We start from the raw sequence: 17,123 nt of genomic DNA, 5'->3' as shown, positions 1-17,123 counted from the left end.
AATTATAGTCATATGGTATTAAGAATTTTCTTTTTCTCTTTCCTCTTGCTAACTAAATTATTCACGCAATTTTTTATGGTTTTTCACTTAACTAAATAATATGAAATAACTTGGCCGATTGGGCAACAAGTTTCTAGCTATACAGAATATAACTTTACATGAAATGTAAGTAAGGAGAAACATTTTTGCTTCTTTTATATTGTACCTTTGGAGTCAATTCTCTTTAAGGGTACTACCTAAAAATAGCAAATACTACATATCAGCTGTTGATGTAATTATGCTTTGATTTATATGCTTAGAAAGCAGTCTTCACTTATGAAGACATCTGTCATGTAAACATAGCTGAAGCAATTTTAATAGTATTCCTGTGAAACTTTTTTTTTAAGATACGAGGAGGAAAGCTCATGATCACTTACACCCGTAAAAGTGACGCTGGCAAATATGTTTGTGTTGGTACCAATATGGTTGGGGAACGTGAGAGTGAAGTAGCCGAGCTGACTGTCTTAGGTAAGTGTAATTTTATTTAATCTTCTCATTGAAAAATAGATCTCTTATCATTTTGTGTCTGTATACAAGGGGGAAAGAAAAATTGTTAAGCCAAATATTTTTAGGGGGTGGGTAGAAAGAGGAGAGAAGAAATCAGAAAAGCAGCTTGAGATAAAATAGCCAAAGATGTGGGAGGAGGACTAGGAGGAAGCACTAAACCTAGGGAGAAGCTTCTAGAATGAGGGGACTCTGTGGAATAATTTCCTCGCTGATATTTTAAATTAAAAATATGCTCTTACTGAACTCCTAAAGTGTTTTTCAGCTGGTTCATTTTAAAATTTTACCTTAAGATGACTCTTTTTAATTTTAGAGAGACCATCATTTGTGAAGAGACCCAGTAACTTGGCAGTAACTGTGGATGACAGTGCAGAATTTAAATGTGAGGCCCGAGGTGACCCTGTACCTACAGTACGATGGAGGAAAGATGATGGAGAGCTGCCCAAATCCAGGTACACATCAGAGTTTCATGATATGATTTGTCAACTCAGCATTTCTACGTTTCTCATCACATCATCTCCACATCCGGGCCATTAGAATAGTCCATTCTAGAATCCTCTATCAGGGGCCAGATACAATACTGGAGATAATTAGAAGCAGGAGGTTGCCATCCTGCTTTCTCTGAGGCTTTCAGAGAAGAACTGTGCATTCGTGACCCTGGGCTGCAGAGGGAACCCTTGTAAAATATGATATTCTTTAATATCACAGGTTTCTCTTCTGTTCAACCAGATGACAGTTAATACTAGTTTTTTGGTTTGGTAGTAGGCAGGAAAGGGAAGAAAGATACAGCCTTAAGGATGTATCTATGAGCCAATTAAAAATCAGGCTTCCTTTTCCTCAGCTAAAATACCACCAGAGAATGGTAGAAGAGGTTGGAGTTTCTTGATATCTGTCAAGTCCTTAAATTGGCCAGGAGCAGAGATGCACGAATCAGGGAGCCTTAGGGAATGTGCCATTCAAATAAAGGCTTTCGGGTACTGTCAGCGGGCCGTCTTCTCCATTATGTTCACTCCTTCAGCAAACATGTGTTGAGCCTTCTGTCTAGGTGTTGGGATTACAGTAGTGGCTTAGACATAGTTTCTGCTCTCAAGGAGCTCACAAAAGGAAATGCATTGATAGATACAGAATAACAATATCAAGCTGATATGGTTTGGCTTTGTGTCCCCACCCAAATCTTTCAACACCTTGAATCCTGAGATTCACATGTTAAGAGTGGAATCAGTTGGAGATGATTGAATCATAGGGGTGGTTTCCCTCATGCTGTTCTTGTGATAGTGAGTGAGTTCTCATGAGATCTGATGGTTTTATAAGCGTCTGGCATTTCCCCTGCTGGCACTCATTCTCTCTCCTGTCGCCCTGTGAAGAGGTGCCTTCCGCCATGATTGTAAGTTTCCTGAGGTCTCCCCAGCCATGTGGAACTGTGAGTCAATTAAACCTCTTTCCTTTATAAATTACCCAGTTTCGGGTATTTCTTCATAGCAGTGTGAGAACAGACTAATATACAAGCTCTTTTGTCACATAAAGGTAAACCTGTGCCAGCTCAGAGGGGGGAATTTGAATTTGGGAGAGAGTTCTGAAAGAATCATGACACATAAGTAATGTCTTGAAAAGTATGTATCAGTCTGATAAGCAAGGAAGAAGAAAAGAATATTCCAGGAAATGGGTTATCACAACACAGACACAAAGCTGAGAAGGAATGTCATCTCCTTTGAATGGCATAAAGTTTAGCATGGCTAGGTAGGGCATAGGATTTATGATGAGAAGTTATGAGATATCAGGTTGAAACTAAGAGGGGCTTTGTGTAATAAAGAATTCCTAATATTATATGCACATTGGTGAGCCAAGAGTGTTAGTATAGATAGGTGTACCCTTTAGAAAAATTAATTTTGTTGGCCGGGCCCAGTGGCACACACCTGCAATCTGAGCACTTTGGGAGGCCGAGGAGGGCGGATCACCTGAGGTCAGGAGTTCGAGACCAGCCTGGCCAACATGGTGAAACCTTGTCTCTACTAAAATACAAAAATTAGCCGGGCATGGTGGCACGCTATAATCCTATAATCCCAGCTGCTCGGGAGGCTGAGGCAGGAGAATTGCTTGAGCCCTGGAGGCGGAGGTTGCAGTGAGCCGAGATTGCGCCACTACACTCCAGCCTGAGCGGCAGAGTGTGACTCCATCTCCAAAAAAATAATAAGAAGAAAAATTAATTTTGTTAGCACTATGGGTGTTACATTATTCTGGGGAGAGGCTAGTGGCAGGGACACGATTTTTGTGGTTGTCCAGATCAGAGATGTAAACTGTCTGAACTGAGAGGTGAGATAGAGACAGGGCTCAACAGTAAAGAGAAATTTCTAAGACTAAAATGACAAATTGGATGACTTGTTAGATATAGACAGCTGGTGAAAGAAGATACGTAAATGTGTTAAGAAAAGGAGTTGGTTTATGTTAGGGGAAGAACAGAAAGTTTTATTTAATACATTAAATATTAGGTGCCTATGGGATGTGATGTCTAATTATTAGTTAGAAATCCAAATTTGGAACTTAGATGAATTAGGGATAGGAAATGTTTGTGTGGTAGATCAGTATGTAAACTATAGTAGATAACTTAACTCAGGGAGATCATGTAGAGTAAAAAGAGGACTAAAGTGAAAGTTCAAGGAAAACCTAACACTTAGAGGGAGGGAAGATGAGGCAAGACAAGTAAACTCAAAAATGAAAGTGGGTTCAAATTTCGACTCTGCCACCGAACTAGATGAGGACCAAGGCCAAGTTCCTTTACCTCCTATACCTCAGTGTCCTCATCCAAAAAATGGAGGTGAGCATAACAGTTATTTCATACCATTGTTATACAAACTTAGAAGGATAAAATCTATAAAACATTTAAAGTCTGGCAAATGGTAAGAATTTAATTAATGGTCACTATCTTTTTGTTTTAGTGTGAGCACAGGAGCTTGAGGAAATAAGTAAATAAATGCCAACTTTACCCCAAAATGTTCTTTTAGAAAGTAGTTTAATATGTTAGTCCACATAATTATAAAAACAAGCTTTTCTTCTGCCAGCTGACTTAGAGGAATACCATGTTTTACTCTTTGTTTTAAGTTATCAGAAAAGAATGTAGCATGTGCTTTGAAGCATTGTGTGTATAATAATGAGATCTTTCAAGTAGAAAGTCACTTAACTGTGCTTTCTTTTGTTATGTCATTAGATATGAAATCCGAGATGATCATACCTTGAAAATTAGGAAGGTGACAGCTGGTGACATGGGTTCATACACTTGTGTTGCAGAAAATATGGTGGGCAAAGCTGAAGCATCTGCTACTCTGACTGTTCAAGGTAGGCATTGGGAAAGGCTTTGTTTTGGTGGTTTTAGCATACAAAATATAGTGCTGATAATTGAAGAAAATATTATGTATAGGGCTATGTTACATATAGACTTTAAGTATTGCTCTAAATAATGTATTTCAAACATATTTAAAGAACACATATTGTTTTGCCTATGGGAGCTCTGTAAGTGTTACAGGAAATTGAATTAAATGTTGAAAATTATGTTCAAAATTGAATTAAATGTTCAAGATAGTTCAAAAACTATCTTGGTCAAGTAGAGGCGAAGAATGTGCTTTAAACTCCAGGTCTTCAAACATAGAGCCCTTCTAATCTTTTAATTAAATGACAGCTATTGCTGTCTTGGAGGAAACTTTGTCTTTGGAGGAAAACAAGTCTTTCATTACTTCAAGATCATCCACTTTCAGGGGCCTGTACAATTTGTAACAGAAAAAGAAGATTCTATTACTCTTCAGAATGTAGGATTTATTGAGCAGGGACTTTGCAATTGTTTTGTGCGCACAGAGTGCCTGCATCATAACAAACACTCAATAAATATCAGTTGATTGAACGAATTGCAGTTGTACTTTGCTAATTTTGATACAGATTTATTATTTAGCATCGTATGAGCCCAAGTGGATACCGTGTTCTATGGCTACCAGGTTTTTGAAAGTCAAAGTCACGTCTTAAGCTGATAGGAGGAAATGGATCTGTCACCCCTTTTCCATCCATAATCCAGAAGTTTTTCATTCTCATAATCCCATTTTGTTTTTCTCTGTGATGTCGTACTGATTATTTCTCACTATATCCCATTTGAGAACTTTCCTCTATTTTTTTTTCTTTTTAAGTGGCAAGTTGTCTATTATGGAATTTCAGAGGCAATGACCTTTAAAAAACATTTTATTGGTTGGAAAAAAAATTCCTGTTTTGACAGTATATATAGTAAATGGAAGTTCTGGCCATAAACCATTTAGCTTGTTTTGGGGTCTAACATTAGCAACACTTGATGCTGTCATCTTTTCTGAACACTGTCTGTTCTAAGACTACTTAGAAAAAAAAGGTGGCTTTTGAGGGAGCATTTCTACTGTGGGCTTTGTACAAAAGAGCCTTGTGGGCTTTTTACACTAGAAAAAAAAGAGTAAAGAATATTTCCTTCCTGTCTCTAAAGCCATTATGTCCCACTTTGGGGTTTTTAGCTCAATCTCATAAAAACAAAAGGAAAAAAAGAAAGATCAAGAACAAACATTGAGTTTCTAAGGCCAAGACTACTCTTTAATCTAAGTTAGACTTGAACTCCAAGTAAGGCTAAAACTAAGAAAAGAAAACCTCTTCACATTTACAGAAAGCATAAATATAAGAGGTGTCAAATCCAAGTTCAAAAGCCCTCCAGAAGGAGTGAAAATAGCCAGGATGAATACAAGACATGAAAAGGTGTGTCTATCTCCAGGCAATTGTGATAAGGAGGTTGACTGTCTATTACGTTAGTCAGTGAAATGTGTTTCACTTTGTGTTTTAAAGTACTTTACCTTGGTAGCCTGATGCTTTTATAACTAACAGCTATTCTACTGTGTATACAGTAGACATTGAAATCAAAATAGAGTTTCTTCCTGCAATTTTAAATTCAGTTACAAAATTCATTTAGCCTTAAGTTTTCCGTATGGAAATCTTGCTCTCTAAGCCTGGATTTCAAAGGAAATTGGCACTAATGATCAAATCCAGAAACTACTTGAATTTAGAAGTTCTCATTTCAACTGCGTTGTGTTTTCTATAAATGTTTAAAAGATCTTTATATAGTTGAGGATATATTATTCAATATTAAAATAAAATATGCCTATTAACATCACTGTTAAAACATCTTTAACATGCTGGAATAATAAACACAGTATGTTAAAGAAAGTAACATGATTCCCAACTGCAAAAGATAAATAAGAAAAAAACATTCAAAGGAAACCTGAGAAGATATGCCTTTTTTCGTCTTTTGAGACTGAACGTAGAAAAACACCAGTTACTACAAAGGAAACTAATCAGAATTGAAGCCATTTGGTAGCAGGAAATAATTACAGTTAAAAAAATTCAGTAGTGTAATTGTATTGTTAAAAAACTTTCCGTGTTTTGTGTATAGCTCATTTTTAAAAGGCAGTGTTGGAGTCACTACGAGCTCAAACATAATCTTTCTCTCCCTCACATCTCATACAATGAGTATTTAATTTTGATCATTGATGTTAAGGCAATAAAGCCCAGTAATGCAGGTAGAAGCTGTGGGAATAAATTACCTTACATAAGGGTGGCCATTTGATTTTCACCCCCAGCACAGATGTAGTTAATTCCAGCATCTTAAAAAGAACCCTGATTTGAGAGTTTTTTTTTTTTTTTTTTTTTTTTTTTTTTTTTGCCAAGGTCTTCTTGTAATCCCAAATTCTGCTGTTTTCTAGACTTTATGTCTTTAAATATTCCTCTCTTGACTCTAGGGGTTTCCGTGGCTTTTCTACTTGTGTACTCTTCACGGTTCTTTCATGGTACTGGACATCTAATAGGCACTTTATCTAATAAATTCTTATTAAAATTTGAAATGTGAATATGCATTTCAGACTTCTGCTTGAATGGTAGAAACAGCACAGGGGGCCGGGCGTGGTGGCTCATGCCTGTAATCCCAGCACTATGGGAGGCCGAGGTGGTCAGATCACCTGAGGTACGGAGTTCGAGACCGGCCTGACTAACATGGTGAAACCCCATTTCTACCAAAAATACAAAAAAAATTAGCTGGGCGTGGTGGCATGCGGCTGTAATCTCAGCTACTCTGGAGGCTGAGGCAGGAGAATCGCTTGAACCTGCGAGACAGAGGTTGCAGCAAGCCGAGATTGCACCATTGCATTCTAGCTTGGGCAACAAGAGCAAAGCTCTGCCTCAAAAAAAGAAAGAAAGAGAGAGAGAGAAAGAGAGAAAAGGAAGGAAGGAAGGAAGGAAGGAAAGAAAGAAAGAAAGAAAGAAAGAAAGAAAGAAAGAAAGAAAGGAAGGAAGGAAGGAAGGAAGGAAGGAAGGAAGGAAGGAAGGAAGGAAGGAGGAAGGAAGGAAGGAAGGAAGGAGAGAGAGAGAGAAAGAAAGAAAGAAAGAGAAAGAAAGAAAGGGAAAGAAAGAAAGGAAGAAAGAGAGAGAGCACAGGGACATCCTAGGGAAAACTCAAGCAGCTTCTGGTGGTTTTAATTCTGAGTGCCAACAGTAAGCTCCATTTGATCAAATTTGAAGAGACTGCCATTTATGAATGATGCTGCCTTATGACCTGTGTTTGAAAGAGCACAGTAATTGTTTTACTGTCTGTATCTCATAACGTCATGTTGTATACTTTAAATATATACAATGAAATGTATTTTTTAAAAAGAATGGAGGTGAAAAGGGAACAGAGTAAAATCTAGGGCTAGACACTGTTTCTTAAACTTACCGGAAGTTACTTGTTAAGTATACAGATTATCAGGCATGGCCTGTAGAAAATCCAATTTAGGAGATCTGGGTTGGAGCACATAAATTTATTTTTATTTTTAAACGAGCAACTTCACAAACCTCAGGAATGAGGAGTTACTTGATGAACTGACAGGGAGAATAGAAGACTTTTTAAAATGTCTTTATAATTTGAGACTTAGAAAGGTAGAAGAAGTGTGTTAAAGATAATGGTGTAGCTAAGAGAATGGACATTGGAATCAGACAGAATTTAGGTGAATCATGATTCTGTCATTTACTACTATGTAACCTAGAAGAGTTTACATAAATTTCATGAAACTCAGTTGACCCATATGTAAAATGGACACAGTAATACCAACCTTTGTATAAGGATATTTAACATATTATCTGTTATACAGTACATATTTTGTAAATAAACAGCATTAGACTTATGAGTGTTATTATTGATAGCTTTATTGCTTAATTTCAATAATTATTAGGTGGTTAGAAAAATAGTAGTTTTAGATAATTCTAGATCAGTGGCTCTTCTACTGTAAATGAAGAATCTGAAGTACTAATATTGTCATGACAATTTATTATGTGACAAATTATTAAAGACATTTCTCAAATATAAAGCATTACATTTTCATTTTTTAAAACCTTTATTGGAAGGTTGAGGCAGGAGGAATGCTTGTGGCCAGGAGTTCATGGCTCCATCTCTACAAAAACTAATTTTAAAGTCAATTGTACATGTTGGTGTGCACCTGTAGTCCCAGCGACATGGGGGGCTGAGGCAGGAAAACAGCTTGAGTCCACGAGTGGGAAGTTTCAGTGAGCTGCGAACCCTGCCTTGCACTCCAACCTGGGTGACAGATTGAGACCCTGCCTCTAGAAATAAAATAAAAATAAAAATCCTTACGGGCTATTATAGTAAATGTGTTGGATTTTGCTAGCGCCAGTGAAGCTAGTCCTAGATATGTATTGAAGTTTTGGAAAATAAGTAGATAAATTATTGAAATTTATGACCATTTTGGAAGAAAAATGAATCAAAAAGATTGCATTACATGTGCATTGGAGTGTTATTGAAATGGAAGAACATTCAGCCCAAGGTTTTTTGTCACAATTTCCATTCCGTTATCTCTAAGAGTGACTGTTTTCTAATTTTTTAGATTCTCAGTGCCTCTGTTTCTCTCTGTAAAATAGTGGTGCTTTCTCACAATTCATACAGAGACTAGTAAGATTATCCATGAGCAAATATCCTCAAAAACTTCTTTATCTCCTTAATGATCATTTCAAAACATGGATGAAATATGAGGTTGCACCCTGTTAATAGAAAGTAATTGCACCACTAAAACCTGTACCACATTTGGTGTAACATTCATGGGATTACTTGTCCCTGGCCAGTGGAATGCCAAAGTCAAATTAAAATATTGAATCAAATAAGATATTGATTACTTAATAATGCAGGTTTTATTTTACTTAGGAAAGAGGCAAACTGTAATAAAATTTTGGTGATATTAGGAAGTTTGGGCTAAAAATATATTTTTTCTGGGCTCTGTAAATATTTAGGCAATAAAAAGAATATCCTGATTCCTTTAACTTGCATATTGGTATACATGGTATACCAATATTGGTATATTATTGAAACTAATTCTCAGAATGAGACCCAAAGGCTCAGCAGTAATGACCTATCAAAGGATAATTACTGTTCATTATATGACCAATACAAAATAGTGAAACAATGCTGTTTGGGATAATTACAACAGAAAAGTGTTTCTGCTTAACTTTGAGTTAGCCAGAAAATTCAGTAAACCTGAACCTCACATTACATCATTTTGTAAACTAAGCAAAGTTTCATTACCTATACATGTTAACCATCAGTGTTGTTACATTTATACTTAGTGTTTGTCTGCATCCCTGTTTCCTCTCCATGTGTATAATATCTACATACCTTTCTTTCAAGAAATCTTTTTGTGAACCTAAAATACACAAACAAAATCAAGCATCTTTTTAAAGACCTATCACCTCTATTTTGATTTATTACATTGTTATTTTTGAACTGTAGCATTTCAATTTGACGAGTGTTAGGATAGCTGGCTCTGTCTTGATAGGAATGAATTATTCACTGAAGTGGTGTTTCATGTTGCATCATGGCTCCATCTTTTAAGACAAAAAGATATATACTACATACAGTATTTGTAACAATTTTATAGGTTGTGACATACCTATAAAAGGTAAAATCTAACAAGAACAACATAGATGCATAGAGGCACCCTGCCACGTTTTTAAACAGCGTGTCATTGAAACTGCTAAAATTTATGCCTCCCCTTGGTATTCAAGAATGGTTGCAGGTTTGTTTTTATATTATTTTGCTATCTTAATCTAAATCCATTACGTATTTATTAGATGCTTACAAGGTGGGCCTTCAGGTTCTTCTTAGAATCAGATGATGGCCAAATTATATTATTATTTTTATTTTTAAACTAAAATGATTAAAAAGAAAAGCAAATGCTTTTTTCTTTGTTTGAAGTAGACTTTAGGAAAAGCATGGTGAATACAGCTTCAAAATACTTAAAAATGAAAAAAAAATCTATTTACTCAATTATGAATAACAAACCCTATAAAATTTATAAATTATTTACTTTCAATGACAATCATCTTGGTGGCTTTTTAAATTATTCCATTTTTGAGGAGTGCTCTTCCAAACGAAAGATAGGTGATAAAGCCACATAGTTTAAAGTTTGAGTTTCTCCTGTTTCTGAGTTTGTCCTCAGCCTCTAAGATTTCTTGTGATTCCTTGCTTCAATGATACTCATTGCTTAAACAGGGTGAACTAGATGGCATTATTAATCTTTCCACTCCTTTTGTAACTTCACAGATAAAGCAGCTCTTCTTACTGTAACAATTTCATTTCCAAAGTAAATTTGTGACTCTCTATCACCAGAGTGATCATGTTCCCATCGCTGTGTCCCATCAGTCACAGGAAACCGAACCAAGAACGGCCTGAAAACAGACCAACCATTTCCCAAGCCATCACCTTTTATCTCCCTGAGTTGAAGTATAAGAAAATCCAATCCCATTTTTGTTTGTCTCTCTCACAACAGGAACTAAAAGACACTTAGTCTTCTTGTTTCTCTTGAGGGCTGAGTGCAGGGCCAGCCAGTCACAGGAAGTGGTATGTTTAGATCTCAGTTCACACCCCACTATACTCCTCTCCAGGCTTCTCACAGAATGGGTCAATTTTTGAAGCTCTGTTCAAAGAAAAGGCAGGTGCTAAACATTGCCAAACCAGGTGATGCTCTGTTATCAGATGAATGGGATTTCTGTGAAATCCCAGCTCTTCTCTCATAAGAGCTTGTCCATTTTTCTTCTCTTGATGTGAAGTCACTCTAGTCTCTCAACTTTATCAGCTTTCTTTTAACTATAAAATACAGTATCATGAATTATGTTGCTATTGCTTTAAATTTATTGTTGACATACAATAGGAATGTTAAAACATCAAAAGAATGTGCATTCTATTCTATTCTGTAGAATTGTTATTTTTGTCTGATGCTTCCCCTAAGTATTAATGCCAACTGTGCAGTGAAGGAGCATAATACTTTCTCGTTAGGACTGATGAGCCAGTGACAGCTTCTGGGAGTCTGAGCCTTAGTGTATGAGACTGACATGCAATAGGGGAGACACAAAGACAGAAAAAAAGCCCCGTGCTGTCTTTTGCCTGACTTAATTGCTACTAATGGGATGCTTCCTAGAGTGTCTCTCCTTGCTGCTAGTAAACTACATGCTTCAGAAAAGAAACTTTGCTGGAATATCTAGGACACCGCAGTTTATGATTGACCCCTATTTACTGTCCCAATGAACTCAGAGTTGAAGAGTAATTATAACTTTCAGTAAAACAAGAAGCAGCTGTCAGAGGTTTGTCTGAGTCTTTAAGTTTCTGCTAACTCAGGCTGTAAGCATTAGTTTGCATAATATAATAGTGAAGAAGTGAAAATAAGAGCAGACCAGACATCAGAAGCTGAATTCCCTCATATTCTTTATTTGACTTGTTGGCAATGCAGCCTGCAGACACACAGCCAGTCGACAGCTTTACTCTTTATCCTTCATGTTCCCATTTTCCCATATCTCACTCTTAATCAGTCATCACAAAATCCTACTTATTTTGCCTTTTACCTATTTCTCAACTCTCTCACCACCTCCCTTGCCTTCTTATCATTGCCCCATTTTAGGCCTTTATCATTTCTCCGGGAAACTCTTAACTTCTAACCAGGTTCCTTGCCTCCACCTTGTCTCATAGAATCTATTCTTCACACAACAGATTAATGTACCTACAAAAGCTGGGCGTCATGGTTCACGCCTATAATCCCAGCACTTTGGGAGGCCAAGATAGGAGGATCACTTGAGCCCAGGAGTTCGAGACCAGCCTAAGCAACACAGTGAGACCCAGTGTTAAAAAAAAATTGTTTTAAATAATTTTAAAAAAGAGTTTTAAGAAGATTATCTACCTAAAACACAGTTATAATTATATTAATTCCTTCCATAAATGATTTCCATGGTTCCCATCTCTCCAGGGTAAGATCCAAAATACTTTTGATGATACTAGCCTCCTTTCTTGCTACTCACTTTAGTATAATATGCTATATTCCTATATTTCTTTTGTGTATACACCACCATGTAGCTTATCTCTGGGCTTTTTGTTATGTTGGCTCCTTGGTCTAAAATGCCCCAGCTCCACCTGCCCCATCTTCTACTTGCTAGTTACTCCTATTCTTGAACTTGATTCACATAAGCATCCTCCAGCAAGCTTTTCAGACACTCCCCATCCGAGTGAGAGTTAGGTATTTCCCATTCACCTACCCACTGGATGCTACTACTGCCCTTAATGGGATTTCAATGTCTGAACTGCTTGACTGTGAGTTCCTTAGGCACACACTTTGCTGACTTTGCTTTGTTAGTCTCATTGTTTACTGCAGTCTCAGAGACATCGTTTTAGTTAGGGTCCTCCAGAGAAACACACTCAATAGCATATAGAGATAATAAGAAGAGATTTATTATAAGTATTGGTATGGGGGGGTCAAGAATTCCCACCATCTGCCATCTACAAGGTGAAGAACCAGCAAAACAGGTGGTTTAATTCAGTCTAAGAGCAAAATTCTAACATTGGGGGAGCAGGAAAAGATGTGTGTCCCAGCTCCAGAAGAGACAGCACATTTGCCTTTTTTCTACCTGGACCCTCAACGGATTGGATGACGCCAGCCCACATTGGTGAAGGCATGTCTTCTTTACTCAGTTAACAGTATCAAATGCTAATCTCTTCCAGAAACACCGTCACAGACACTCCCAGAAATACATGTTGCCCATTGTCTGGACATCCCCTAACCCACTCAAATGGACACATAAAATTCACCATCACAGAAACCTTGATGTTCTTGTAACATTTTCTGTGTGAGTGAATTAAGTGCTCATCCTGATACACACCAGTTGTTGAATCCTAGGCAAATTGCCTAACTTCTCTGAGATTCAGAGTTCTCATCTGTTGAAAAATGAGTGTACATGTAATACAAATATCCGTCAGCTAATAGGAAAATAAACTAATGAATAAAATAGTTGAATTCCCAAGAAAGTGGGTGTGGATTATGGGGTGCTTATGCAAATACAGTTGTTGTTACTGTTTCTATGATTGTTTTTCTCAGCTTCTTCCAAAACTAAATTAAAAATTCATCAGGTCCCTGTTAATTGTTATTTTGTCCATAGAGATTTGACATTTTTTATAGCTGATTAATGTGAAGTTTGGTTATTGTTTTACTTTAACATAATTACTATCCCTCCCTGCTATGTTCAATGCTGCTAAATTTCCTGATAGAATGAATAACATTGAATCCCATCACTGCCTGTTCCATGTAGTCCATATAGTGGAACAATTGAATTAACTGAATATAAACAAATTTAGATATACTGTACTCAGAAATAACTTCAATATAATTTAATCTGGAAAAAATGGATCAGCAGGCGTAATCCACAAAAAGAAATGTGCATTTGATAATTTTCTAACATGTGAATTAGCAACTTTGAAAATAATCAAGATACATGCCAATCTTAATGTAACATACTGTGTGAATGTATGACTGTTTTTTTGAGACAGGGTCTCATTATGTCACCCAGGTTAGCGTGCAGTGGCACAATCATGGCTCACTGCAGCATTGACCACCTGGGCTGAAGCAATCCTCTCCCTTCAGCCTCCCAAGTAGCTCTACAGAAGCATGCCACCATGCCTGCCTAATTTCTTTTCTTTCCTTTTTTTTTTTTTTTTTTTTTGGAGAGATGAGGTCTCACTATGTTGTCCAGACTCGTGTGTGTGTGTCTGTGTGTGTGTGTGTGTGTATGTGTGTGTTTAATGAACCATTAGATAATTATTTCATATTGTAAAATTAAAATTTAGGTAAAAGTGAAACAATATAGCTTACTGTAGACTTTATTGCCAGTAGGGGATAAACTTTTAAAAACTTGCATTCAAAAACACCTCTGGAGGAAAGAAGGCCTACTTTGTAAATCTGTGGTTTCCATAAATAGAGTTCACTATGTTTAACTTTCTGTCAGCGTATGAGATCTTTGTGTGAGATCCATAGGATTTTTTGGAGCTCGTATGATAGCTAGGCATAAAATAAGTAATGAGAGAAAAAACTGGGTCCTTCAGTTCTGAATTTCCTTTCTTTGATGTAGACTTCATTTAAATCATTTGTTGGAACAGCTTCCTTAAGTTGCTGATTTGAGAAAATCTGGCAATATAATAGTGCATTGTTTCTGACCATTAACGTGGTTATTTGAGTCAAAGCCAAAACTAATAGTGTCAAGGGACCTTTTTGCAGAGTCAGCTTAGGTTTAGTATAATCCAAGATCTTGGTTGAGAACTGTGAGTTCATCAACATTTTGATGAAACACATATTATGAGACCCCCCCAAGGCTTTATTTGACAATTTTAAGAACCTTGATATGTGTGTGCTGCTTTTGCCAGACTCTGACAAGACATAGCAAACTGGATCTTTAGGGAATGATTCTTAATGACATATGGCAATAATCCACAGATGCCCACTAAAGTCACTAGTGCTACAGTAAGCAGTGCTTCAGGGGTTGGAGGATTTTATATATATATATGTGTGTGTGTGTAAAATGGTGGTAAATATATATATTAAATTTATATATATTGGGTAGATATATGTATATACACACATATTCAATGTAATATATATTTACCACTGCTTGTATGTATGGATACTCTTAATACTAATCTCAAGAGTCTTATTCAAAATGCTACCCTTAAGGGATTTGTTGTGGAGGTTTGTGTGTCTTTCTTCTCCTTCTCCTCCTCATCCTCCTCCTCCTCTTCCTCTTGTTTATTTTGTAGTTAAAATAAGGATTAAAAAATTTTCAACTGAGGACTAGGGGGGCTGATGGGGAAAGAGATTTGTTATGGTAAAAAGAAAACCAAAAAAGACAAGATGTGATGGAAACTTTTGAAGAATCAGTACTGCCAGTTGAGCTCTTTGTGAGCAGGCTGCAAGTAAAATGCCATCACCCAAGAGATTTAATGAAGTCCCACTACAGAATTTAACAAGAGAGTGATTTGTGAGAATAACTCCCTCTCCTAACTGTTCTGATCCAGTGGCGTAAATAAGATGCTGAGCACCACTCCTGCTGGGTTTTTTAATGCTGTTTCATTTGATTGAGACCCAGTAGCTTTTTGGCCTATGATTCTTGGCTGTTTTGTTTTGTTTTGTTTTGTTTTTCCCTAGAGGAATAAAGTAAAGAACTTCTTGTGTACTTATAGCTTAAAGAAACAGCCATTGTAACCCTAACGACTGATGAATGTGTGGGATTCTCTTAGATTTCTTTCATCGACGAAAAAAGATTTGGGGTTGCTTTCAGTTATTTCAAAAAAACAGATATAAATCATAAAAATTAATCAAAAGAAAGGCATTCACTTCATGGCCTTCCTACAGAGAATTTGAAATGCTCTCTTAATTGTGCACGCCAGGCAAATATTTGAAGAAATAAGTCGAGCAGTCAGGTACAAGAAATAATTGATACATAAGATGATTCAGTGACAAATAATGACATAGCACCACACTAGTAAATAGCGCATCATAGGCCTTCCATGATGGTCTGAGTTTTACTGTGATTTATTCGTCTACATAACAGTGGGTAAGGTTTTCTCACTGCCCAATTATATAGATGTATAACTGAGCAACTGTATTTAGAAACCAAACCAACATTCTGAAATAATGGCATCAATGTGGAAAAATGTCATTGAGTTGTATGGATATATCCAATCTCAGCTGCTCAGCCTGAGAATGAAATTTGGAGAAATAAATTACTTTTCTGCTCTTATCATTGAGAGATAGCACATTTTAAAATGTTCATTTTAACAGCCTCACATACTTTTAAGACTTGGAATTATTTTATCAGAGTTAGTATCATTCAATGTGAAAAAGTTAATTCTAAGTTGATTCACATAATATTTTGTATTTTATCCAGAATTGTTTGCACATAAAGTGATCAAGATATTTTATTATTTAAAAGAGAATAGTTGCAGACTGTTCACATGAAGAACACCTTTACCTTATGATGAATCTTGAGTAAACTAAATACACAAGATAACTAAAAATGTGACTGTTTATGCATCCATTTGTATGGATATTTTTTATTATTTGCTTGCTATGGTTTTAAATATTTTGATAGATATACACAGCATGAATCATTAGGCTGAATAGAATTCTTGTTTTTAGACTGGCGAATCGTTTTAGCAAATACCAAACATCAGGGTCATCATTAGAGTAGTTACACTTGATAATTACATAGCATCTGGTGTCCTTTGAGCCTTATCTTAGTAATTTAAAAATACAAAGCAATTCTTTTTTAGTTTTTAAAAATATTTTGTATAAATTAGAAGTTCACACTGTGTAGTATACCTAAGGTTTGCACAACTGATTAAAATACCATGAGCACTTTAATTTGCTTTTAAACTGTTTCTCTGATGACTTGATAAATAATGTGCCAGTATAAACACACCTGCAGAAAATACTAAAATAAGTATAAGACAAAATATAGCTGAGTAATTGCTTTATAACAGATTTATGAGAGTAGGAAAATCCATAAATGGTTGTTAAAGTTAGCTTTAGGACATTTATTTTGTGTGGTCGATGTTATTAGGAGAGGATTTAGAGCATTGCACAACTAAACCTGATAGATAGGCCGTTTTACAAAGGCCCTTTTAAAAAGTTATTTTGTGGATGGTGAAATAGTCATTTCACACAGTGCCTTTTAGGTCATTAGTGAAGAGATGAGAAGTGCTTTTGTGGTTTTCCTTAGGCTTTTAACTCCCCCAGAATATACTTAATCACTAAATATAATTGATAATAAATAATTTTGACCTGATTTAGGTTTCTTGAGAATAAACATTAAATCATATAACTCTATGCTAGATTGTTGAAATTTTCAACTTTAGACATGGATGGGGGCTTATAAAGCATTTCCTTTCACACTGCCTTTGACGTTTACAGTGAGTGTTCTAAAATGTTGCCTCACATCGCTTTTCAGGCACGGAATTGGCTGCTTTATCATTGTTTCTATAAGAAAATAAAATGCAGAACAAGTTATTTTTCCCCAAACCTTTTTATAAGTATGGAACTGCTCATATACAAGCAGAGTAATTATGCATCTATGTTCATCTAATGTATCAATACATATGTTGTATATTTAAATCATTTCTTGTTAAAAGTCATTTTGTTTAGGTCATGGAGACAAAACATTTCAGAACCAAAATTACATTAGAG

The 17,123-nt window shown here is 36.1% G+C and overlaps 1 protein-coding gene across 18 annotated transcripts in view; it reads left to right on the top strand.

The window, feature by feature from the left end:
• ROBO1 (roundabout guidance receptor 1) overlaps positions 1-17,123 on the top strand; it is a 1,170,760-nt gene that overhangs the window by 1,049,729 nt on the left and 103,908 nt on the right. For all 18 annotated transcript variants that reach the window (XM_017006982.2, XM_047448664.1, XM_047448661.1 and 15 more), the window contains 3 exons: positions 387-507; positions 857-995; positions 3,746-3,873. In XM_017006982.2, coding sequence (XP_016862471.1) covers positions 387-507; positions 857-995; positions 3,746-3,873 — 388 coding nt within the window. The remainder of the gene's footprint in view (positions 1-386; positions 508-856; positions 996-3,745; positions 3,874-17,123) is intronic.

The sequence above is a fragment of the Homo sapiens genome, chromosome 3 (genome assembly GCF_000001405.40).
Source record: "Homo sapiens chromosome 3, GRCh38.p14 Primary Assembly".
Taxonomy (NCBI): domain Eukaryota; kingdom Metazoa; phylum Chordata; class Mammalia; order Primates; family Hominidae; genus Homo; species Homo sapiens.
Note: the sequence above shows the minus strand (reverse complement) of the source record. Positions and strands in the feature narration are given on the sequence as shown.